The following is a 25,437-nucleotide window of genomic DNA, read 5'->3' as shown; positions in this document are numbered from 1 at the left end:
AAAATAGCTAAAAGAAGGGATTTTTAGGCTGGGCATGGTGGCTCACACCTGTAATCCCAACACTTTGGGAGGCTGAGGTGGATGGATCACTTGAGGTTAGGAGTTCACGACCAGCCTTGCCAAGATGGTGAAACGCCATCTCTATTAAAAATACAAAAATTAGCTAGGCAAGGTGGCACACGCCTGTAGTCCCAGCTACTCCAGAGGCTGAGGTGGGAGAATCGCTTGAACCCAGGAGGCAGAGGTTGCAGTGAACCTAGATCACACCACTGCACTCCAGCCTGGACAACACAGCAAGACTCCATAGCAAAAAAAAAAAAAAAAAGGATTTTAAATATTCTCTCCACAAAGAAGTGGTATGTATTTGAGGGGATTAATATGTTAATTAGCTGATTTAATCACTTCACATATGTGTATGGAAAAAATCACATCTTACTCCATAAACATATGCAATTATTATTTGTCAATTAAAATAGAACTTTTAAAAATATGGCCAGGTGCAGTGGCTCACAACTGTAATCCCAGCACTTTGGAAGGCCACGGTGGGCAGATCACCTGAGGTCAGGAGTTCGAGACCAGCCTGGCCAACATGACAAAACCCCCATCTCTACTAAAAATACAAAATTTAGCCAGGCATGGTGGTGCATACCTGTAGTCCCAGCTACTCGGGAGGCTGAGACAGGAGAATCACTTACACCCAGGAGGCGGAGGTTGCAATGAGCCAAGATCAGGCGACTGCACTCCAGCCTGAGCAACAGAGCAAGATTCCATCTCAAAAAAAAAAAAAAAAAGTCTAAGTCAAGCCCATGGGAGGTGGAGGCAGGCGAGTAACACTGCATGTTATGTGCCTTACAAACATGAGATGGATCTAAAATTAATTTAAATGAAGAAGCTCCTTTAAAACCATTCATTTCTTCAGATTTTTATAAAAGTTAAGCTTTTATTCCTCTGCAATTTACTTGAACAATAAATTCATGAAAACTGTTAATTTCCTTTATAAATGAACCTCTGATAAATCAAACCAAGTTCCATGGCAATGATTATATGTCTCCTAAGGGAGTTAGGATATACTGGTTGAAGGCAGGCAGTACAGTACAGCGGGGTAAGAGTGAGTCACTCTTACAACCCAGCATTGCTGCCCAGCTGTTTTGAGCTGATGCAAGTTATTTAACCTATGTGTCTCCATTTCTCCATCAGTAAAATGGCAGTCATTGCTACAAGTTGTTATGAAGCTTAAATAAGATCATAGACATAAAAAGCCTCAGCTGTCCAGTGCCTGGCACAGAATAAGCAGTCAACAAATGTCAGGTCTGATTACCATTATTATTTTCCAGATACTAAGAGTTCAAACATTTTGCTCTTTTCCCTAACAACTAAGGGAGTAAAAGGATGAGGCTTTAAAAGCTTCATTAAAATTCCAACTTCAATATAAGTCTATGTGGACCCTTTCCTGGAAACACAGCAAGGAAAAACAGCTGGTCCTTCTTTTAAGTGAGGAGTTTGCCCCTTGTGGACCACAAGACCAAACAACACACACTGGACCTCTGTCCTACAGTGTAAAAATAGCGTTAGAACATGGACTCGCGGTGCTTCCCAACTCTATGGGAAGATTTTCTAACCCTGAAGTTCAAATGAGGTGAAGGAAGTATCTAAGTAATTCCACTCCCAGTATTTCCCAAGAGAAATGAAAACATGTCCACACGAAAACCTGTACACGAATGTTCATAGCAACATTATTCATAATAGGTAAAAGTAGAAGCAACCCAAATATCCATCAACTGATAAATGGATAAATAAAATGTGGTATTATCCACACAATGGAATGGTACTCAGCCATAAAAACAAATACTAATATATACTACTACATGGATGAACTTTGAAAACATTATGTTAAGTAAAAGAAGCCCATCACAAAAGACCACATATTACATGATTCCACTTATGTGAAATATCCAAAATAGGCAAATCTATTGATACAAAAAGTAGATTAATGGTTTCCTAGGGGTGAGCAGGTTGGGGGGAATGAGGAGTAACTGCTGATACAGAATCTCTTTCTGAGGTGATGTAAATGTTCCAATAATGGTTGCACAACTATGTCAATTTACTAAAAGCCACTGAACTATACACTTTAAATTGTCTTAACTTTATGGTATGTAATTTATATCTCAGTAAGGATATTATAAAAATAAGGTATACAAGGAGTAGAAACATTACCTCCACAGGAGAAAAAAAAATTCCTCATCTTCAATTCTTCTGGATACAAAATGCAAAAATACTTTTCCCCAGAAATCAAAAGCAGTACTTTCTAAGTTCTAGAAAGGCAGTAGTGGGATGGAGTTAGAGTTTAAAAAAAAAAAAAAAAAAAAAAGACAAAACTTCCACCACATAAATTTTACAACACCATCAAGGAAAGAAGACAATAATTTGTACTCACTCTCTTCCACTTCAAATATTTCTGGAGTATGTCTTTTTACGCCAGTGGTTTTCAACCACAGCTAAACTTCAGAATTGCCAGTGGAGTTTTTAAAATCTACCAGCACCAGTGCCCTAACTCCAGAGACTCTGATTTAAATGGTCTCAGATCTTTGTGTCCTTAAAAACTCCCAAATGATTCTAACAGGCAATTAGGATGTCAAACTCTGTTTCAGCCAGAGTCATTACACAAGCTAGGTATCAGTTGTTTTCTCAACTATATCTACCAAAAAGTCCTCATTTCCAATAAGATATGAACAACTAAATCCATCAAGTTACATTCAAGTTCCTTCTTCTATAATTTAACATGTTCAGCCAGGCAACAGTGGTTCACACCTGTAATCCTAGCACTTTGGGAGGCCAAGGCAGGTGGATCGCTTGAGCCCAGGAGTTCGAGACCAACCTGGACAATAGAGTGAAACACTGTCTCTCAAAAAATACAAAAATTAGCCAGACATAGTGGCACATGCCTGTGGTTCCAGCTACTTGGGAGACTGAGGCGGGAATCACCCAAGCCTGAGAGGTTGGAGGCAGCAGTGAGCCATGATCGCGCCACTGCACTCCAGCCTGGTCAACAGAGAAAGACCCTGTCTCCAAAAAAGTAAAACAATTCAGCATGTTCTAAGAATACCCATTATTACATACTCCAATCACATTTGGATTCAAACACACATTCCAAAACCTTAACAGCAAAGAATTTCAAATTAATACATATAATGCTTTTTAAAAATTAATCATACGAATTAACATTTTCATTGATAACTCAGCTATACACTATGCTCCATGGATAGTCCATTTCCAGTTTGGTTTTACAGCATAATACCTATACTCAGAAACTGCTTAATTAGTCATCAAGGTACGTTTAGTATTATCAGTACCCTGTATCTTGGAATTACCTCACCTCATCCAATGGAGTCATTTCTTATACTCAAACCATCAGAGATTTTAAAACTTCAAAGTTGTTAGCTTTCCTTTAATGCCAACAATTTTATTTCATTTAGCTCAAGCTTTGCAAGTCTTCTGGCTCAAATATTGCGCTAAGGTTCCAAGCAAATATGGACATAAATTGTACAAAAATTAACTTAAGCACAGAAAAAAATTAATTTAGCCAAATAACTATATAGTCATTAAACATATAAAGAAGAAATGGACTACAGCTTTTAATATTCAAGTTGAACTTAGTTATCTTACGCCTGTCATTTGATTATTAAAACACAAAGGAGGGTATCTGCATGCTTTGTAAAATGCTCAACCTATGACTGCTCAATATGCTTTAAGAGGAAAAATCCTAACCTACAGTTTCTGGTCTTTTTCAAGCCAATAAACCTCAAGCATGAAATGTACATGCATACAGGGACAGGACTAGCTTAAATCAGCCCAGCTCCTCCCAACACCCATCCACACACAGAAACAACACTGAGGTACAAGAGAGTATAAAACTTTATTTCCTAAAATTCAAAGAAAAAGGGAAAATCAGACTCAGATTTAACCAGTCAGATTTCTAAATTAATTTTTTAAAACAAGCACTAGCAACTGCCCTGATGGACACCTTACTTTAGAAGCCACCACACTGTGCTTTAAATATGTACTGACAAAAAATTTCTAATAGTCTTAAATAAAATGAAGTTCACTATCACTGATAGGAATTTAAAGTAGACCGACACTTGATACAATTAAAGCTGACTTGATCAAATATGAAAGGGTAAACTTCAATTCAAAGCAGGAAATTAAGAATATATCCACATACAAATCGGTAGGAAGGCCAAGCTGACAAATTTCACGCACCGTAATTCTATTTCATAATACGGTATCTAAAATTTGCTTCAAAATAATAGTGGAAGGGGGGATAACAGGGGAAACAAGAGTGGCTATGATTGATGACTGTCATAGCTGGGTGAGAATACATGAGGATTTATTATACCAGTATACTCTGGGGTACATTTGAAAATTCTTATAAGATTTTTTAAAAGTCAAATTCAATATTGTATCTACTCTAAAGGCTACTTTCTCAAGACCATACACCACAAATCATGAAACATCAATGTAGTGAAATATAATGAGACATTAAAATTTACAAATATGTCAACTATTTCAACACACCAAAATGTATACATGAAATGTTAGATTAAAATCCACGATGTAAAATCTATTTACGCTAACCAAAATCTGAGTTTTAAGCTTCACTCAGTACAACAATCTCTCTCCTAAAATCAGCCCATGTCTAAAACTTCAGACATTCCTCAAAATTTACAGAATATAAAAACTTAGCCACCCGATTGTTTAAAGTGAGGTTAGTTCCTAATACCTCATAGTATCAAACCAAGTATAATCCAATTTAGGTAACTCTAAGGGTGATATAGACTTGAAGACACATGGGAGGAGAATTCCCATTTACTAACACCTGCTATTTGCTAATCATACAGTATCTCATTTAATCTTATATTATCTCAAACTCATGCTTCCATCAAATAAAAACAATTACTCGGCTGGGCACGGTGGCTCACACCTGTAATCCCAGCACTTTGGGAGGCCAAGGTGGGTGGATCACTTGAGGTCAGGAGTTCAAGACCAGCCTGACCCATGGTGAAACCCGTCTCTACTAAAATACAAAAATTAGCCGAGCGTGGTGGCAGGCACCTGTAATCTCAGCTACTTGGGAGGCTGAGGCAAGAGAATTGCTTGAACCCTGGAGGCAGAGGTTGCAGCGAGCCAAGATCGTGCCATTGCACTCAGCCTGGGCAACAGGAACAAAATTCCATCTCAAAAAAAAAAAACAAAAACTATTACTCACCCAATTTTACAGATAAGGAAATGTGAGACCCAGAGAGGTTAAGTAGGGCACAACTGCTGGCATCATCACTGAGTGGCTTTGTGGCTTGCCCTAGGCCACAGCCACCAGGGGACGATGCCATGCAGTTGTGCCCTATTTGAAAGTCCAATACACTGGTCACACCACTGCTAATAAACTGACTGTCCCCCTCCTTGGCTCAGCCCCCTGAAATGCAAACATGCCTGAAAAAATTTAAGCTGTGGAAATGAATGGCTTAAATTTCACCAGACAGCTCCCTGAAAAATAAATTATTCTAGACACATGTAAACAAGAAATAAGACCTTAATTAGCAATTCTGCCCATCATTCTTACCCTGATTTAGACTCTCACCTACATGTACCCACTTATAAGAATTTTGACACCTGAGAAAAGCTTTTACTTTCCTCAGTTTGTATTTTAAAATTCTAAATTCTTTTATTAACAAGCTATAAAACTATAAGAAAACAAATATCTCTCAAAAAAATTATACAGAAAAAAAGGTTCCACTTACCACCTTTTTAGAAGTAGGGTGGAATATAACTAGTGTTTAATCATATTTACAACTATTAAATGAAAAATGTAGAATATGATCCCAGTTTAGTTTTAAACACCTTCATCCAAACATTTAAAAAAAAAAAAAAGATATATGGGAGTATGTGGGGGCAGGGGGGGCGGGGTGCATATATACACCACAATGTTTAAGGTGATTATGTCTGGATAGTAGGTTCCTTTTCTTATGTTTTCTACTTCTTTTAAAACTTCTACAAAGCACAGGTATTATTTATAGAAAGACGCCTAGAAATGTTATTTTTTTAAATGCATAGAAGAGAAACTGTCTAAAAAAGACTGGCCAGAGACCAATGGAAAACTGATGGTCCCCAGGAGATGAATCAGTGGAACCATAAGTGTTTCCTCGGGTCATTACAAAAGGGAGCTGTATGGGACTTATGAAAGTGTAACTGTTACTTTCAAGCTAAGTTTGTTAAGGTTACTAAGCTTAAGTAATTCCAAAATAAACACATTATCCTTGGGTCTCCAATACTGTCTTCAGTAAAAGTCCGTTACAGTGAGGTTCAGAAACATTAAGAGCACCCCTCACTGAAACTCTTGCTTGGGGGCCCAGAATATAACCTTATACCACTGGAAAAACAGGTTTAAGGATACCCAAAATAAACAGGCAGTCAATGGGAGCTCCACTTCCCAGTCCATCAATCAGCAATATGATCCCATATAATAGTCAAGATGTGGTTCAATCACCAAAACATTTGCAAACAACAGGAGTCTATGAGTGATTCTCCTTTAATCTCTATACCAATTACCAGCATTTTTATCAGTGAACCTTCTCTACTCTGATGAGACGCAGGTCCAAGAAAGTAATTATTGTTTGCATCTATGAGTTAGCAACCATCAGATTGCATCCCTGAAAAGCATGCTAACCAGGAAGGCAAAACCTTACTAAAAACCTTTATAAGGACAGTAATACATGAACAAAGCAATACAAGAGCACTGTACATCTGCATACATTAGGAAGTGAAATACGTAAACTGCATAAAACAAATTCAATTCATGTTGAGGCATAACAGAAGCAACCTGGTTGTATCAGGATGTCTGTTCCAGCTCATAAAGTTCTTACCAGAGACAACTACGAAATCTGTCAGTGCCTATAAGGGTCATAGCAAAGAACAGAATTTGGGAAAGAGAGAGTATTCCAAAGTACTGTGAATTCCTCTCCTGTACCACAAGTCACTTCCCCCACCTCTACACAAGGCAACATAAGCATAAACCTGCTGATATCTGACAACATATAGCACTCTACCCAGAACTGTCTACTAACTAAATCCTTGCCCTAAGTTTTCCCTCTTTAAAGTATTAAGGAAATTTTTTCCTGTGTAAAAATATCTGACTTTATAATGAAAATCACTGAGAAAATGAGATCTACTGTGCAGCCAATTTTGCAGAAATATAACCTTCAGACAAGTCAGGGGTCCTCATAAGAGCTACAAGTACACTGAGAAGGATTTTAAGTGTGTTATCTGTGTTCTTTAAGTTACTTTACTTCTAAGAAGTCTATGTTATATAATATTTCTTGACTACAGTTGACTGTGCCAGTAAATTACAGGGAGAAGTAGTATTACTTCTGGACCTATTTTCTATCTCTAAGGAAAGCCTTTCCATTTTTACAGCTAACGTGACAAAATCCACTTTTCAGCCAAACTTCCTCAACACAGCAGTTTAGATACTATTTCAAATACTATTAAATTTAACGGCATGCCTAAATTCAGACTTCTCATTTCACTTTTGCACCCACTGGAAATTATTTCACTCAAAATAATTATGTCTTCAGATGATTTCCTATTTCCACTTAAAGTAGAAACAAATTAGAACACTTAAAATTCTATTTGCACTTCCCAAATACAGTAATGACTCATTTATCTGGCATCATCAGAAAACGAGGTTCTCCACACATTAAGCATTTTCCAGGTAACTGAAGCCCACAAACACAGAGAACTTGTCTGCCTTGTTCCTTGCTGTTATCCCCAGGACCTAGAACAGTATCCAGTACGTGGTAGATAGGCAGTAATAATTACTGAATGTGTGAATAAATAAAAGTACTAAAGCTCTTTTATTTTTAACCATTTGTGAAAATGTTTCCTACACTGAATTATAGCCATCCCGCCCTTTTAAAAAAACATGACACTGAAAAGAAATAAAGTTTTTCTTATTAATTTGGGATACCACTATAAATAGCAATCACTTTACTCCCCTGCAATGTATCTTAGTGTCTTTAAAGCTATTAAAATACACTGGGCTTTTTGCCACCATGTAAAAATGGACACAGCATGGTATGCTCTCATAACTTTTCCTTTCCTTATATTAACTGTCATTGCTGTGTTTGCTCTTGCTGTCTTATTTTACACACAAAAGTCTGGCAAGGTTCTAAACTCAATTCTGCCTCCAAAGCAGAATAAAATACATGGACTTGGTTACAATTCAGAAGTCTTTTCCACTTATTTCTGACCTGTAACTGCATTCTGATTCTATTTATTTAACAAACTCCTTGCACACACACATCCTCTACCACATTCTACATAAAATCTGAGATGGTTCTATTAGTTTTAAATGAGTATCTTAAGGATTTTCACTTAAGTGCTAAGTTTCAAATATTAATCATGAGTAATGAATGGCTCAAAGACTACCTCCAATATAAACCTCAGGGCATTTTTTTTTTTTAATCCATTCAGGAGACACCAGCCACGACAAAGCTGGACTTCATCTTGCTTGATAGGCAGTGATAGGGCCATAATTTAGATTCACGGTTCCAAAGTTCATGGCAGCAAAAATCAAACACACTGGCAGCCATGGCATACAGTGCTTACAGAGAAGGGCTTATCTCCTGAACCTAAGAGTGGAAAGGATAATTTAAGTATAGCATTTAGTTTATACAATATAACTGGAGTTCCTTCCCCACAACAAACTTTGAATAATGTTTATAATTTAGCAATCAACTGAAATGAAAGAATTACCACAATTGAAATAAAATATTTATGTATTTCAAACCAATAGAACTGTGTCTTCAAAAACTAAAACAAGCTAAAAGAAACCTAGTTCTGAATTAGTGATGGATACAAATAAAATGGGGGTTTGTTTATTCAAGTCTTTGAGCTGCTTTTCTTTTTTTAAAAGATTTCATGAACTTTCATTTGAAATAAGCACAGTTTACCAAATTAAAGGACTTGATTAAGTATTCTTTAAAAGTAACTAGCTGGGTAAACAATAAAGTAAGTTATCCAAGAGTCAAGAAAAGAAAAATGACTTCAGACTGCTTTATGAATATTCTCCAAAATCACCAATCCTTCAACAAAAATAGTTCAACGGAAGATTTCAGTTCCTGGTACTGAACTGAACAAAGAGAACCACATGTTTTTAATGGTTGCTCATAAACGACCCAAATAAATCTCCAAAAGAACAGGAGTGGCTCTTTCTGTATTTTTCCCTTTAAAATTCATAAGACCAATTCAACACAGAAATAAAAATTACTGTACTTTATGGCACCACTCACTGTGTGACACATTTATTTGCTGTCATGAAAGTTAGTACCTCAACAAAGTAAATGAGATTTAGGGAGAAAAAAATTTTCTACCATTTAAAAAAGCACAAAATGTTCTTGCCATTTGCGGCAAAAAGAGTTTACCCACCTCAAATGAGAAGATTTTCATACTAAGTAAGAAACCTAAGTATTTATATATAAATAATACAAAGAAGCTTTCCAAATAGCTTTTCAATCAGTGATGATGCTGATATTAGATCACAATTACACTGCTAACTACCATTTATAAGAAATGAAGCCTACACAACAAAAAAATGTAACTTACAATTTAACCACTGATGTTCTATTTTCCCTGGCTTTAACACTGAACCACAACACAGAGCAACAGCACACCCTGCTGGAAGTTGGTAATACAAATAATTAGCAGCACTGAACTAAGATTTTACCCAAGATGAGAATTACTTCAGAACCAGTCATTTCTCACTGAGAAAAAAAGAGGTTCACAGGCATTAACCATCAGCTACCTATATATATGTGATCTTAATGGTTAAATTAAAACTCAGAATAACTCAAATTAAAAGATACTGCTTTTTCCTGCTCATTTCCTCAGCCCCATACAGCCCCAACCACCCCAAGTGATTTTACTACTTCTGGCTTTAACCCTAAATAAAAATATTTTCAAATGCACTTTTTGTAAAGAGAAACTGGTAATCACATAAAAGAGGAAACCAAGACGATTTTCTGTATATGACTGCCTGAAGTACCCCTTCTCTCCCATCCCACCTTGGCCTTAGAAATGCCCCTAAAGATTACCATTAAAAATGCACAAGGCATAGCCGGGCATGGTGGCTCACGCCTGTAATCCCAGCACTTTGGGAGGCTGAGATGGGTGGATCACGAGGTCAAGAGATCAAGACCATCCTGGCCAACATGGTGAAACTCTGTCTCTACTAAAAATACAAAAATTAACTGGGCGTGGTGGGGCGTGCCTGTAGTCCCAGCTACTAGGGAGGCTGAGGCAGGAGAATCGCTTGAAACCAGGAGGTAGAGGTTGGAGTGAGCCAAGATTGCACCACTGCACTGCAGCCTGGCAACAGACTGAGACTAGGTCTCAAAAAAAAAAAAAAAGAATGCACAAGGCAGCCTGGTGGTCTGTGAACCACAATTTACATGCCATTGGCAAAATGCCTACACAGATTCTGGAATTCAAAATATGCAAACTATATTAAGAAACCACATGTCCTGAAACTGCATCTAGTATGTTTTCAACATTTTCACAGACATGAAAAATCATGGAAGCCACTAACTAGATAATCCAGCTCTGCCCTCCCTAACTCAAACTCACAGTAATCCAAGGATGAACAGAATTGTATTTAAGTTTTGTAAATGTACTCTCTTTGTTATAAAAAGAAAACTCCTCGTTACTGCTGAGATTCCTCTTCAGAGAAAACAGGCTATGCTAGCAATGACCTGCCTGTTCTGAGTGACTAGTATTGGCTTCTTGGCTCCTTGCTCCCACATCTAAAGGTTCTGATTGACCTCTGGTCAACTTGCAGGGCACTCTTTAGTCATGAAGGCCAACAATTCTTTAAAAAAAAAACAAAAACAAAACAAACAAAAAAAAACAATGAACAAGGCCAAGAAGATCCAACACTTAAGTGTAGTTTTCTCCAACAACTAAAAAGGCAATAAGCACCTCAGGTGTGTTTTTCTGACATTGTCTCCAGTGGCATTATTTAGTTCATTATCTCAATCAAAGTACATTTAAAATTAAAATTTTAAAAGGATACCAACCTCGAGCCTCTTTTCAAGTGATTCAATTCTGTCCTTTTTACTAGCCAGATTGGCCCGTGTGTAGCGGCTCTGCCCAGGAAGATATAAAACTTGACTGTAGCATTCTTCCCACACCTGGTTATAAGCTTCACTTGAGAGCTCTCCATGGCTCATTCCTTGTTTAACCACTTCCATCTCCTGCACCAAAACATCCTGGGCCTGTTTACAATAATAATTTCAATAAGTTTAAGTACTACAAACACTTGCCATATCCAGAGAGCTTTAGAAGACTAATTTTTTCCCTCATGCCTTGAGTCAAATCCAAGATGTGGTTGGTTGTTTTTTGGAAGGGTGGATAACAATACCTAGGAAAAATAGCTTAAGAAGCCTTTGAGTCAATGCAGACTGCTTTTTAAAAATCAAGCATCCATGTTTCCTCAAAAGTATAAACATCCTTTGCTTTCACTCACTATAACAGCAGCTATCATTTCTCAGGTACCTATTGTGTGTGTGAGAAACTAGGTTTAAAAGTTTTACCTACATTATATCCAAAGATCATAATCACCTTACAAATTAGCCAATATTAACCTCATTTAAAAGCTAATGAAATTTGGCCAGGCACGGTGGCTCCCTCCTATGATCCCAGCACTTCGGGAGGCTGAGGTGGGCGGATAACGAGGCCAGGAGTTCAAGACTAGCCTGGTTAACACAGCAAAACCTCGTGTCTACTAAAAATGTAAAAATTAGTAGGACGTAGTGGCACATGCCTGTAATCCTAGCTACTCAGGAGGCTGAGGCACAAGAATCCCTTGAACCCAGGAGGTGGAGGCTGCAGTGAGCTGGGATCGTGCCACTGCACCCCAGCCTGTGCAACAGAGTGAGACTCAGTCTCAAAAAAAAAAAAAAAAAAAAAAAAGCTAATGAAACTAAGGCTCATAGAGATTCAACCACTTGTTAAGACCACATCGTTAGTAGGCAGATGAGGCAGAATACAAATGGCACCACTGGGTGTGCCCCTTCCACTCTCCCACTCCACCATGTGTGCAGGACCTCACGTGATGGTAAAGGGGAGCTAGGCATCTTTTTGTCACATGGCATTTTTCTCATCCTGAAGGAATGCCCTGACATTGCCAGATAATGAGACTGGGGCACGAATTAGATGATAGATCATAAACCAGTTTAGTTCACTACTAAAGAAAATAGTGTAAAATGACAGAATGAGAGGGAAAGCTGGACAGGCCTGGGTTCAGATCACAGCTTTACCATTGAAGCAGCTCTTTGAGCTTGCTTAATTTATCTGAGCCCATTTCTCAGGGCTTTTTCAGCCTGGAAAGCTGAAAAACAGCTTTCCAAGCAATGATGATGCTGACCTTAGATCAGATGTGTTTGTTATTAGGATTAAGTGAACAATATACTATAGAGCCTAGCCCAATGCCAGACACACAGAATTCCATAAGCATATGAATTTTTTCCCAGCCCTTTGCTTCATGGCTTATGAAAAACTGGGAACCACCTTCTGTGCCTTACAGAAGGCTTTCAATCTTTCCAGTAATAATGAAAATAAACACATCAAAATCTACAAAATCAAGAGAAATGATTGATAAACAAAAAATTTTAACAAAAGAAACGGAAAATCATCTCTATAGAAGAAAAAATGGACACTTAATACCTTAAGGGAAATAATGGAAACAAATCAATGTTAACATATCTTAAAGTATATTAAAGAAAAAGAAAATCTGACAGTTTATTAAAAGAGAAATGCTATTTCACTCTGAAACTGCACAGAGTAAAAATTTACAAGTTCAGATCTTATAATCATTACGAGAGAATATGGCTAAGTTATCTTTAAACTATCCATAAATAATCTGCTAACTAAATAGCTGCTTCAAATTCTTTTTGGAACAAAGAGAGATATACACAGATAAAATATGAGAGAATATTTAAGCTACTTTGTTTCAAACAATTACAAACCAATACTTAGAATTATTATTTTTCAAAAATTGTGTTAGGGTTTACCCTCTACAGAATCTCCAAAAGCAACAATGTGATCCTTGTTTTAGGTTTCCATACATACAATTTAGGAAAATTTATTTCCTAAATTCCTCTTCCCCTCATATTTTCACTTTCAAAAGAGGAAACTGTGCAAGTATCAATTTCGTAGCCTGATTCTCAATCCCAGTTCAATGATTAAATGTGCTCGACAGAGTAGGCAACTCAACAGATGTTAGTTTCCCTACTGCACTTACTAAAAAATGAGTGACTCAGTTATTCTGAAATCAGGGACAAGTTATTGAAATATAAATCGAAACCCTCCTTCCTTTCTCTATTTTCTAAAAATCCTATAATAAATAATGTATTACTTATGCAATAAAGAAAACACAAAGTAAGAAATTGTGAAAAGCGAAGAAAGAGGAAGAATGCAGGAGAGAAGACAGGAGAGTTTGTAAGAATCTTGTTTGTTTTATCCTAAGTATACAGCAGCTCATTCCAAATCCATAGGTCTATCACTGCTCCTCAGGGCTGAAGGCTAAAGAAAAAAAGACTTTTAAGCTAATGACCACTCTGCTTCCAACGATGAGACCCACTGTATCTTCTTATACAATTATGGAGATTTCTATTTACAATCACAGTTGTTTGCTCTGTCAAAACAGAAGGAATAAAATGCATGTAGAAGAAAAGACCAGATACAGACTTCATATAAGAAATCATTTCTTCATGTCCTTATCCAAAAGAGTAGGGGGAAATCATGTGAGGGGAATATATTCAGTAAAAAAAATACTTCCTTCCTTTCAATAGCTAAAAGGTTTAATCTATAAACATTTTTATATTAGTCTCTCTCACCTCTTCATATTATTCTAAATAAGTGATGTTTAAGTACTAAAGGCATCTAATTTTTATTCAGAGATAGCAGAGCTGAATACAGAAAACGGCAACTGTAACAACTGTCAACGAAGCCATTAATACCCATGAACCAAAAACACCCTGGCGGTGTTTATTTGCTAAAGGTCTATCACACTGAACACGGGGGATGGAGGTATTTAAAGCATGTCCTTTTCATAACACTTAATCTAAACATGCATCTCCTAATCATACATTTCAGTTGTTTATGAATACCAACAGGGAAAAATAAGTTCATTATTTGTCCATGATACACAGCACCTAACAACTACCTAAATCTCAAGAAGAAATATTCCAGCTCAATCATACCTTTTTCAGCTCTTCTTTGGAGAACTTTTCATAAGGATTATGTTCCAGATAGGTAATGTGCTCTGAATTATTGGTACCAAACCCTACAGTTTTGCCTTTTTTATTTCCAGATGGTTCATAAGGGTGATGTAGAAGGTCATAATGAAGCATTGTGATCATTTCTTTTTTGATTAGTTCTTCACTTTTCTGTAAATCTGTTAAAGGCGGTTCTACATTTAAGGGTCTTAGAATAGTTTCATTTACCTAAAATTTTAAAACAAATACAATTACCAAACATATCACTATAATATATTAATGTTATTACCTGTTACAGCATGAATTAAACAGCGGTTTTACATTTTCAAAAGCAATTTCCATTTTTTTCCTTCTAAATTCTTTCTGGTACTACTGAAACATTTTAAAGATTGGATTTGAGAACTACTTTGCTATATTCCAGAAAGTAGATGAAATTTTGTTTTATAGTCTTTATGAATGATGTAAAACGCAGCAATCATATAAAAAGAAACTTAAAACTTCCTAAACCAGAAATTCTAACACTTACTTCTGATGGTCTTGGCAGATCTTTCTGGACAGCTTTATGCATTCGTTTCATTTCCTTTACACGCTCTGCATCTCGTATGGCCTAAAAAATGATTTTTATATCCTTTATTGCAGCTATAGCGTATTTGATATCTCTCAGTAAAGCTAAAAACACTTTGGTATGTAAGATCATGTGTGTTCAATAGCTAAAGTTTAGAAATCGGTTTAAGTTTGTAGAAAGGCAATGCTAAGGCAACAGAAATGAATCAGTCTATTCACTCTCATTATAATAGAAACTAAGAGCTTCCAATGTCTACTAGAGCATTCTCCAAACTTGCATGGATCCATATCACGTAACAAACTTTTCTCATCTAAATGGAAAACCTAAACTCCAAAGAGACTCCCACGACAAAACTCTTTCTTCCCTTTCACTCCAAAATTACTGACTTTTAACTCAAAAAGCCAGCCAAAAAATGTATTGTTTCCTGATTCTTATGAATAATGTGGGATAACACATTAAAATTTCATGCCATTTCTGAAGGAGTAAATGTAACTCAAAGTAGCTGAGAACTAAACACAAAAAGTATCATCCTCTGTTCCCCACTGAAAAGCACATTTACATGGGTCCCCTCTAAAATATTGTTTCCACTGATGTCATTCTCACTCCAATCCCCTGAGATTCAAGGTCCCTAAAATCATCCAGCAATGGACTGCAGCTACTGAAAGGGGTCATAAAATATCAGTTCTAGTTTAGGATTCACCACTTACCCACCATGAGACCTGAGAAAGTTGAGACCATGAGACCTCAATTCATCTGAGCTTGTTGAGTATTCCTTACTAGAAATATCTGGGCCCAGAGTATCTTGGATTTCTGATTTTTTCAGATTCTGGAACATCTGCATTATACTAACTCTAATCCAAAAAGCTTCAATGAGCATTTCTTTTGAGCTTCATGTCGGCACTCAAAAAGTTTTGAATTTTGGAGCATTTCAGGTGTTGGATTTTTGGATTAGCAATGTTCAACCTGTAATACCGATCCTATTTATATCACTGTGCTGTTACGTGCAAATGAGAAAGTAATTACGTATAAGATATATTAGTACAAAGTGTTACTAATATTATTTTGACACACTCTATCTAAATTTCCAACTCCAGTTTAGATAGAGGTCTTACTATGTTCCCCGGACTGGATTCAAACTCCTGGGCCCAAAGAATCCTCCCACCTCAGCCTCTCGAGCAGCTGAGACTACAGGCTCGTACATCGCACCACCCAGGAACCAAGATGTATTTGTTTTTAAGACTAACCAATAACATCTTTTCTTTGCTAGATTGAAGCAATGTCTAAAAGACTACCTATGTGTATTTTAGAGAAGCATAATGAATTTGACAGAATGTATTTAAATTTCCATATATATATTTTTAAGAATGCTCATCAAAATATTGTGAGTATGTTAATTATGTGAGGATACATTATTAATGACATAAGTTATTTACTTTAGAAGTTTTTTCAATATTAAAAAGGACTAGGTAGAGATCTTGGGACATTTAATGGCTATTCTTCATTCTTCCAGCCTACTGACACATTCAGCCAAACTCACGCTTCTTTCAGTACAGTTACCCACCTGCTTTCGAGCATCCACATCAGCAGCATCTTCAATGTAAGTATCATCTATTTCACGTTCTTCCAGCTCCTTCTCGGCATTTTCTGGTAGAACAATTTCAAAATCATTCTTAGGGGCAGGAAGGCCCAACAACCCTAAACGGAGATGTTCTCGGGATTCTCTTTCCTGTAGAAAAGAAGTGGTCCTTCTCAATTCATGCATATTAAACATTCCACCAGTATTTTATGAGTCTCTTAAAAATTGATAGCACAACAGGGTGACTCTAGTCAAAATAACTGTACATTTTAAAATAACTAAGAATAATTGGATGGTTTCAAACACAAAGGTTAAATGCTTGAGGGGATGAATACCCCATTTTCCACGATATGATTATTACACATGCATGCCTGTATCAAGATATCTCATGTACCCCATAAATATACACACCTACTATGTATCCACAAAAATTAAAAATTACAGAAAGAGAAAAAAAGTCTCAAAAAAAATCAGCCTAATATTAATTCTAGAAAAATAATCCTGACTTCAGAGCTAAGACAAGTCTTATGTTTATTTTCTATCCCCCCTTCTTCCCAACATTAAGACCAACCAAAAACTTTCACTTGTGATCACTGAAGATACTCTGGGATATTCCAACAGGAGGTCTGAGGCCAGGGCAGAAAAAAAGACCACTTTGAGGGAACACATTTCTGACACCGAAAGTTAACAGCAAATGAAAAGAACAGGTTCAAAAGTTAGTTTGTCCTTGGACTAATAAAATCCACTCTAAAAGATACTTGAATTTGTATGTATGTGTTTATTTTTAATGGAAATACTAAATCCCATGCAGAAGAAAGAAAGTAGAGTCCTGGTTCCCAAAAAAGCCTCCTGGTACCCAGAGTTTTCCCATCCATCCTCAGTGCTTACATGTACCAGGTGTGAGGAACAGATGAGTTGCTATATCTAAAACATCCTCCATGCTTACTCATATTGTAGTCTCCATCTGAGACAGCCCCCACCCTCCTTCAGAACATAGCTCCTCTAATAAGGCTTTCCTGTTACCCAACAAATGTGACTATTCCCTTCTTTAACTACCCTAAGCACACTGGTTTTACTCAAAGGGCTTATTCTGTTCTGATATTGCAATTATTTTTGGACTTAGTTTAGTACTGTCAATCTCCCCAGAATATAAATTTCCTTAGGACAAAGGACATCTTTATTCAACTTTAGATCCCCTCAAATGTCCAAATGCATGCTCTGCATGCATGAGGTTCTTAATCTATTTAATTCTTATGTATCCATTCAGAGTTGGCTTTAGTTGATATCAATTTGAACTTTAAAAAACATATATAAATCAACCAAATATATACATGAGGTTAGAATTAATTTTAAACTGAAGACAAGCCAGTATCATTAGAAGTTTTTTTTTTAATTTCACAATGATTTCTGTGGCATTAGATAATAAGGCCCAATAGCAAAGTAATAAACGCAGTAACACGGGCAGAAGCAAAACTTAACTTTTTACAGTTAGCTTTCTACCTCAGCTTGCTAAAGAAAACTTCAGTGAAATCAACAACGAACATCAATATTCACAAACCTAGTAAGCATAAAGAAAGGTGGGTTTTGAGCCCAAAATATTCCCTTTCATCAAGTCTTACAAATAATTCTTTTTCTGGCATCCACAGGTGTATAGATTCTTAAGGTATATGTGATATGCACTAACAGGAGAAATTTTAATTTGGCATCCATGAGATATTAAAAAAAAATTTAAGAGTATTAAAAGGGAATTGACATTTACCATCTGCTTCACGTAAGAGGGATCACTATAGTCTGCCATTCCATCCTCGGGATTAATGTTTAACTTGTCTCGAAGAGGAGTTCTACCCGGAGTAGAGTTAATAACTGGTTTGGGAGTTGTTCCACTCCGGGGAGTCAGCCCTTCAGCTCCATTAGAAGGAGTCCTAGAAAGACAGGAATCCCAATTAACAGAAGTGCCACTTACATTTGGATTGTGCTTTCAAATGTTTTTCACATAAATTATTTCACAGGAAATATAGAAAAAAAAAAGAATAAAGATTTCAAAATTCTGTCCAGCTGGTTTTGTTAGGATCTCTAGGTTAAAATCAATGTTTGGTCTAGCTAGCATGGTATTTTTATTTTACTGACTTACAATAATCACTACATTTGATATTTTCTTGCCTTCCTAAACTACGTCCACTAAACATTATTTCAACCTTTTCTTGGCACATTAGGGCGACTAAGAACATGCAGTGGGCAGGGAGGTGGGCCACCACACTCAATGACCCCAGATGACTCTTTGAGTTTTGTGTATATTTGTCTCCTCCCTCCCTATCAAGCTGTTGGTTCTCACATCACTATCACTGTCATTATTACAAATGTACACACTTTATTAAATAGTTCCTCCTTTTACATTTTGTTTGGAAACCAAACACCACACTTTTGAAATCACATCTAAACATGAGTAAGTTCCTGAGTGAGGCCTAAGAGATTCTCCTAGGAATAAGATCCACAGATTTTGCAGCAACCTATATTTTAATTATTCAAAGTCTTTTTTTTTCCTGGTTGCCTATTTCCTGTATATTGGTGTGTTGCAGAACGGTGATGCTGCCAGACAGCTATTCCTGATAGGTAAGGTGTTATCACATAAGACATGGTTCCCACCCCCAAGGATTTTACAATCTAGGTGAGAGACAAGACATACAGTTGTCCCTAAGTATCCACCGGGGATTGGTTCCAGGACCAATACTCAACTCCCTGCAGATACTCAACTCCCTGATATAAAACGGCATCGTATTTGCATATAACGTATGCACATCCTCCCATGTACTTTAAATCATCTCTAGGTTACTTATAATACCTAATACAATGTAAATGCTATATAAATAGTTGGTACATTGTATTTTTATTTGTGTTATTTGTTATTGTTGTACTGTTTGAGTTTTTTGGAATATTTTTTATCCACAGTTGGTTGAATTCACAGATGTGGAATCCTCAGATACAGAGAGCCGACTAAACATAGGAAATGAGGGATTATGCTCTCTTACAAGACTCTCAAGAAGTGTTAAATGTTTAAGACTGGCTGCCAATGCTTCTTGGTTCTGCTGTCATGATATGTGTAATAGCCTGAAGTGCTTTCTCTACTAAATAACCAGTAGGAAGACATATCTTAACACTTAAAATTCAAAGTAAACCCCAAATATTTCCAACCATTGTAAGTTCCAATTCCATTTTCCTACTACATGCTTCCATAACATTTGTATTTTAAAGATTCTTCTTAAAAAACAGCAGCTTAAAACTAAGCAAGAGTTATAAAGAAATACTGAATTCTAGTTAACGCATGTGGAAGTGTTTTGGGATCAAACAAACTGCTACCTGCAAGTTACTTCGAAATGCATTAAAAATTATGATGGATTGGTGGATGGATATGTGATAAAGCAAATATAGTAAAATATTAACGATCTTAGAATCTAAGTGGTGGGTATATGGATGTTCACTTTACCATTTGTCAACTTAAATGGGTGAGAGACCGGGTCTCCAAAACAAAGAGTTTATTCGGGAACGGCAAGGGATTACAGTGTGGGATATGTGTGCTATGACAGACCATAGGTACAACTGAGGGTGCTGGGGCAAGGAGAAGTTTTTAAAGATACAAGGGAGGAGTCTACGCAAACTGTTCTGAAACAAAGACCATTGGTTACAGGGACTTATCACAGGAGGTGGCATTTGTTTTCATTGCCGGTATAGATAAGAGTATCCCTTATCTGAAATGTGGGACCAGAAGAGTTTTAGATATGGGATTTTTTCAGATTTGGGGATAACTGCATTATACTTACTGGTTGAGCATGCCAAATCAGGAAATTCAAAATCTGAAACGTTTCAATGAGCGTTTCCTTTGAGTGTCATGTTGGTGCTCAAAAAGTTTGGATTTTGGCCAGGCGCAGTGGCTCACACCTGTAATACCAGCACTATGGGAGGCCAAGGCGGGTGGATTACCTGAGGTCAGGAGTTCGAGACCAGCCTGACCATCACTGAGAAACCCTGTCTCTACTAAAAATACAAAATTAGCCAGGCATGGCGGCGCATGCCTGTAATCCCAGCTACTCGGGAGGCCAAGGCAGAAGAATTGCTTGAACCTAGGAGGCGGAGGTTGTGATGAGCCGAGTTCGCGCCACTGCACTCCAGCCTGGGCAAGAAAAGCAAAAGTCCGTCTCAAAAAAAAAAAAAAAAGTTTGGATTTTGGAGCATTCTGGATTTTCAGATTTGGGATGCTCAACCTGTACTGGCTGTTGGTAGGGCAATGTCTTCACAGAAGCAACTTATCTGGAATTTGTGTGGTTTTCAGAAGGTCCCTGCAATAATTTCTGTCATAGGCATACGCGCATGAGGGTTCCTTTTTCATTAAAATGTAACATAAATGACTCCATTTCAATACTGATAACTTCCACACATTCTTTCAACCTTTCTAAATGCCTGAAATTTTCATAATAAAATGCTGGAGGGAAAGCAATAGTAATACATACATAAAAGGATTACATAATAAAATTCACAAAGTAATCATTAAAAATGAATCAATCTACTCTAAAATCAAATACAAAGTATTCAAAAATAACGTGATAGGATCCGAAGCTTTGCAAAAGAACACTCCAATTAGACAGGCATGGTGGCGGATGTCTGTAATCCCAGCTACTCAGAAGGCTGAGGCACGAGAATCGCTTGAACCCGGGAGGCAGAGGGGTTCCGTAAGCTGAGATCGCGCTACTGCACTCCAGCCTGGGTAACAGAGCGAGACTCCATCTTAAAGAAAGGGGGGGAGGCACTCCACAGTATTTAACCATTTCCTGGACACTATTATTTATTACTATGAAGAAGAAATCAAAGAGGAAAATCCAACACAATAAGTAGTCATTCTCCGTAAACATTACTAAAGCAAATATGCTAAGTCCTTGAATTCAAGTTTTTCTAAAATAAAAACGTGTTCATTTACAATACCTGAATGGAGTAGAGAGAACTGTGTTTGGAGTCTGTACAACTTGTCGCTGTGGAGTTACACCTGAGAAGTCACTCTCATGCAATGGGGTATTAAGTCCACCTTTCAATGGGGTGTCCACATTGGTGAGGGCCATGAGGTTCTGGGCTTCCTGATTAACAAGAAGACAAAGAAGCAAGTTTAAAAGTTTAGACAGACTTGCAGAATCTCTTCTGGTCCTACTATACCAATCTTGAAGCAGGCAGAATCCTTACTCATTTTCTCAATGAAAGCTAACAGAGAAAATGAATACCAGTCATGGCAGATTTCAATGTTTCCATTCCTTCTATCAATCTAACACATCACATTAGAAGTGTTATACATCATGGGAAAACTGGCTAGCCATATGTAGAAAGCTGAAACTGGATCCCTTCCTTACACCTTATACAAAAATTAATTCAAGATGGATTAAAGACTTAAATGTTAGACCTAAAACCATAAAAACCCTAGAAGAAAACCTAGGCAATACCATTCAGGACATAGGCATGGGCAAGGACTTCATGTCTAAAACACCAAAAGCAATGGCAACAAAAGACAAAACTGACAAATGGGATCTAATTAAACTAAAGAGCTTCTGCACAGCAAAAGAAACTACCATCAGAGTGAACAGGCAACCTACAAAATGGGAGAAAATTTTCGCAACCTACTCATCTGACAAAGAGCTAATACCCAGAATCTACAATGAACTCAAACAAATTTACAAAAAAAAAAAAAACAAACAACCACATCAAAAAGTGGGCGAAGGATATGAACAGACACTTCTCAAAAGAAGACATTTATGCAGCCAAAAAACACATGAAAAAATGCTCATCATCACTGGCCATCAGAGAAATGCAAATCAAAACCACAAGGAGATACCATCTCACACCAGTTAGAATGGCAATCATTAAAAAGTCAGGAAACAGGTGCTGGAGAGGATGTGGAGAAATAGGAACACTTTTACACTGCTGGTGGGACTGTAAACTAGTTCAACCATTGTGGAAGTCAGTGTGGCGATTCCTCAGGGATCTAGAACTAGAAATACCATTTGACCCAGCCATCCCATTACTGGCTATATACCCAAAGGATTATAAATCATGCTGCTATAAAGACACATGCACACGTATGTTTACTGTGGCACTATTCACAATAGCAAAGACTTGGAACCAACCCAAATGTCCAACAATGATAGACTGGATTAAGAAAATGTAGCACATATACACCATGGAATACTATGCAGCCATAAAAAATGATGAGTTCATGTCCTTTGTAGGGACATGGATGAAATTGGAAACCATCATTCTCAGCAAACTATCACAAGGACAAAAAAACCAAACACCGCATGTTCTCACTCATAGGTGGGAACTGAACAATGAGAACACATGGACACAGGAAGGGGAACATCACACTCCGGGGACTGTTGGAGGGTGGGGGGAGAGGGGAGGGATAGCATTAGGAGATATACCTAATGTTAAATGAGGAGTTAATGGGTGCAGCACAGCAACATGGCACATGTATACATATGTAACAGACCTGCACATTGTGCACATGTACCCTAAAACTTAAAGTATAATAATAATAAAATTTAAAAAGAAGTTTTATACATCAAATAAAGTTTTATGTGTAGAGGTGTGCTTTTGTGGCCTCACATATGAAATTACTATTACAAGAATTCAAATTTCCCAGCTTAGGCCAAATGTCTGAATGCCTGGGTTTTAGTCTGGCTTCACCACTGAATTCTCTATCCAGTCTTCATTAGTATCTCTGAGGTCTGTTTCTTCTACTGGGAACTTAAGATACTCCCAAGCAACCTTTCCACTGCACAAGAAAACAACTTGTGGGGGTCAGGTCCCTTTCAGAAGTCTTGCTGATCTCTTTAGGCAGAACTGACCATGTTCTCTTTAGTCCCTTCACTGTAACCCTGTCCTCAGTGCTATCTTTGTACCCATAAATCTCTTTATGTCCAACTTAGGGCCTGTGGCAAAGTTTATTTTCCAAAGATGGTCACAACCTTCTCTCTCATGTTTCATGTTCTTAAAATCCAACTGTGATACTCCTTCCATCAAGAGGTAGGGTCTATGTTCCCTCCCCATAAATCTAGGTGGGCTTGTGATTCACCTGAAACCAACAGAACACAACAAAAGTGACAATGCTTGACCTCCCAGGTTAGTTTAGAAAAAATAACGCAGCTTCCCACCGCACTCACAGTGGAGCCCTGAGATACCACGTGAGAAGTTCAACTGTTCTGAGACCACTACACTATGAGAAAGCCCAAGCCTCATGGAAAGACCACATGCAGATTCACTCCACATTCCCAGCTGAGGACCCACCCCACCAACAGCCAGCATCAACCACCAGACATGGAAAGACAACACCTCCAAATGACTCTATCCCCTATCCATCAAATCACACAGAACCGCTGAGTCCTCCTTACTAAGGCCCTAGACATCATGGAGCACAGACTAACCACTCCTTCTGTGCCCTGTCTGAATTCCTGACTCACAGAAGTCATAAGCATAGTAAAATGCACTAAATCACTAAATTTTGAGGCAAAATGAAAATAACCAGAGCAAGACTTATTCCATTATTCTGTATATCTTTATTCATGAAAAAAAATCTTGAATTTCACATTATCAAAGGCCCTGTGTGTGTCCTTTTTGCTATTCCAAATATAAAGCATTTACTAGAAAGAAACGTATGTAGGCTTAGATCTTCTGCATAGGAAAGAGGAGAAATAAGAATCAAATGGCAAAAGTATATATTCCTGGAAGAGTGGGTGACGTGAAATATCATATGTGCCAAAATTACAAATAGGCAACACTCCCAAAAATGGTGTGGCTAAAGGAGTGGGGGAGTTTGGCCCAGTATGAGATTGGCCCAGTAAAATGCCGGTGCATCTGAGAGCTGTCTCCTATGTGGTGAATTATCCTTTGTTGACGTGGTTACACTGGGATGTTTCCCAGAATCCTCTTCCATCTTGGTACTGAGTAGAGTTCATCAAAAGTAAAACAGAGGTAGAGGCAGAAGGAGAAGCAGAGGTGACAGAGGTGAAGTAGCAACCACTACACTCTGAAGGCCATCATTGGTCAGAGGTAGTGACAGACTTGCAGAGGAGCTGGCAAGTTTCAGTGTGTCCTTGCACCCCACTGCTCCATATATCCAATTCTCCTCCTTTACAGGCAGCCCTGGTGACCAGACTTCTGCTTCAAACTCACAGAAACAGTAGTGACAAAGAGTCAACAACCCTCCAGACTTCCATGCCTGGCCTCCAGATTTCCCTGTAAGCTATGACTCACTCCACACCAGGGCTGGTGACCTTTCTCCAATCTTTAACACTCCTTTTCAGACCTTTAATGCCCTGCTTTTCCCATAACTGTATATGGGACTAATTCCTCTAACAAATTCCTTATTCCATGATTTTCCTAGTGGTTCTGTTTCCTTAATTAAATCTTGACTGATATACCCTAGACTACATCAGAGGAGGCCAAGAGACAGAAGCAAAACTCCTCTTACCCCTAGCTACACACAACAGCAGCCAGAGGTACCGCCTTTATCACACATAGAACAGACACTGAACCAATAAAAGCTCACAAAGTGAAAACAAAATTTATCAAAATTTTACAAAAAAATATGTCACAGACTAGACTAAATCTCAACTTCTGTCAGTTCATCTTAGAGGTTCCAAAGGGCTTCAACCAATCATAATCATTTTCATTAGTAGACATTTATTTTACTGTGGCAGAGACTTCTTGTCACCAAGCACCCATTCTCTTCCTCCATAGTAACAGAAGCCTCAATTCTTAACCACCACCTGGCTACCCAGAACAAATATCACATGCCCCAGTAGCTAGGACATGTGTGCCTAAGTTCTGGCCAGCAGGACAGACAGAATGATGTGTGCAAGAGATGTGTTCTTAAGAAGGGAAAGGGTGTGCCCTTTTTCCTCCTTCTTGCAGGCTATATGCAAACATGACGGCTGGCCCTG

The 25,437-nt window shown here is 37.7% G+C and overlaps 1 protein-coding gene and 1 non-coding gene across 3 annotated transcripts in view, besides 1 other annotated feature; both read right to left on the bottom strand.

Moving 5' to 3' along the window:
* Window positions 1-25,437, bottom strand: part of CDC5L (cell division cycle 5 like) — a 62,720-nt gene that overhangs the window by 9,392 nt on the left and 27,891 nt on the right. For both annotated transcript variants that reach the window (NM_001253.4, XM_047419605.1), the window contains 6 exons: window positions 21,437-21,585; window positions 18,225-18,387; window positions 16,451-16,615; window positions 14,851-14,931; window positions 14,310-14,552; window positions 11,124-11,321 (listed from right to left, as the gene is read on the bottom strand). In NM_001253.4, the coding sequence (NP_001244.1) occupies window positions 11,124-11,321; window positions 14,310-14,552; window positions 14,851-14,931; window positions 16,451-16,615; window positions 18,225-18,387; window positions 21,437-21,585 (999 nt within the window). The remainder of the gene's footprint in view (window positions 1-11,123; window positions 11,322-14,309; window positions 14,553-14,850; window positions 14,932-16,450; window positions 16,616-18,224; window positions 18,388-21,436; window positions 21,586-25,437) is intronic.
* Window positions 5,312-5,393, bottom strand: MIR4642 (microRNA 4642). The gene has a single exon (NR_039785.1). It is a non-coding gene; the product is annotated as a microRNA 4642 (primary transcript).
* Window positions 25,303-25,412: an enhancer, noted in NCBI's record as "active region_24640". NCBI's record gives its function as "activates an Ori minimal core promoter by ATAC-STARR-seq in GM12878 lymphoblastoid cells {active_cell/tissue: GM12878}" and the evidence as "EXISTENCE:reporter gene assay evidence [ECO:0000049][PMID:35858748]".

The sequence above is a fragment of the Homo sapiens genome, chromosome 6 (genome assembly GCF_000001405.40).
Source record: "Homo sapiens chromosome 6, GRCh38.p14 Primary Assembly".
In the NCBI taxonomy this organism is placed as follows: Eukaryota; Metazoa; Chordata; class Mammalia; order Primates; family Hominidae; genus Homo; species Homo sapiens.
This window is presented reverse-complemented; position numbering and strand designations above follow the sequence as displayed.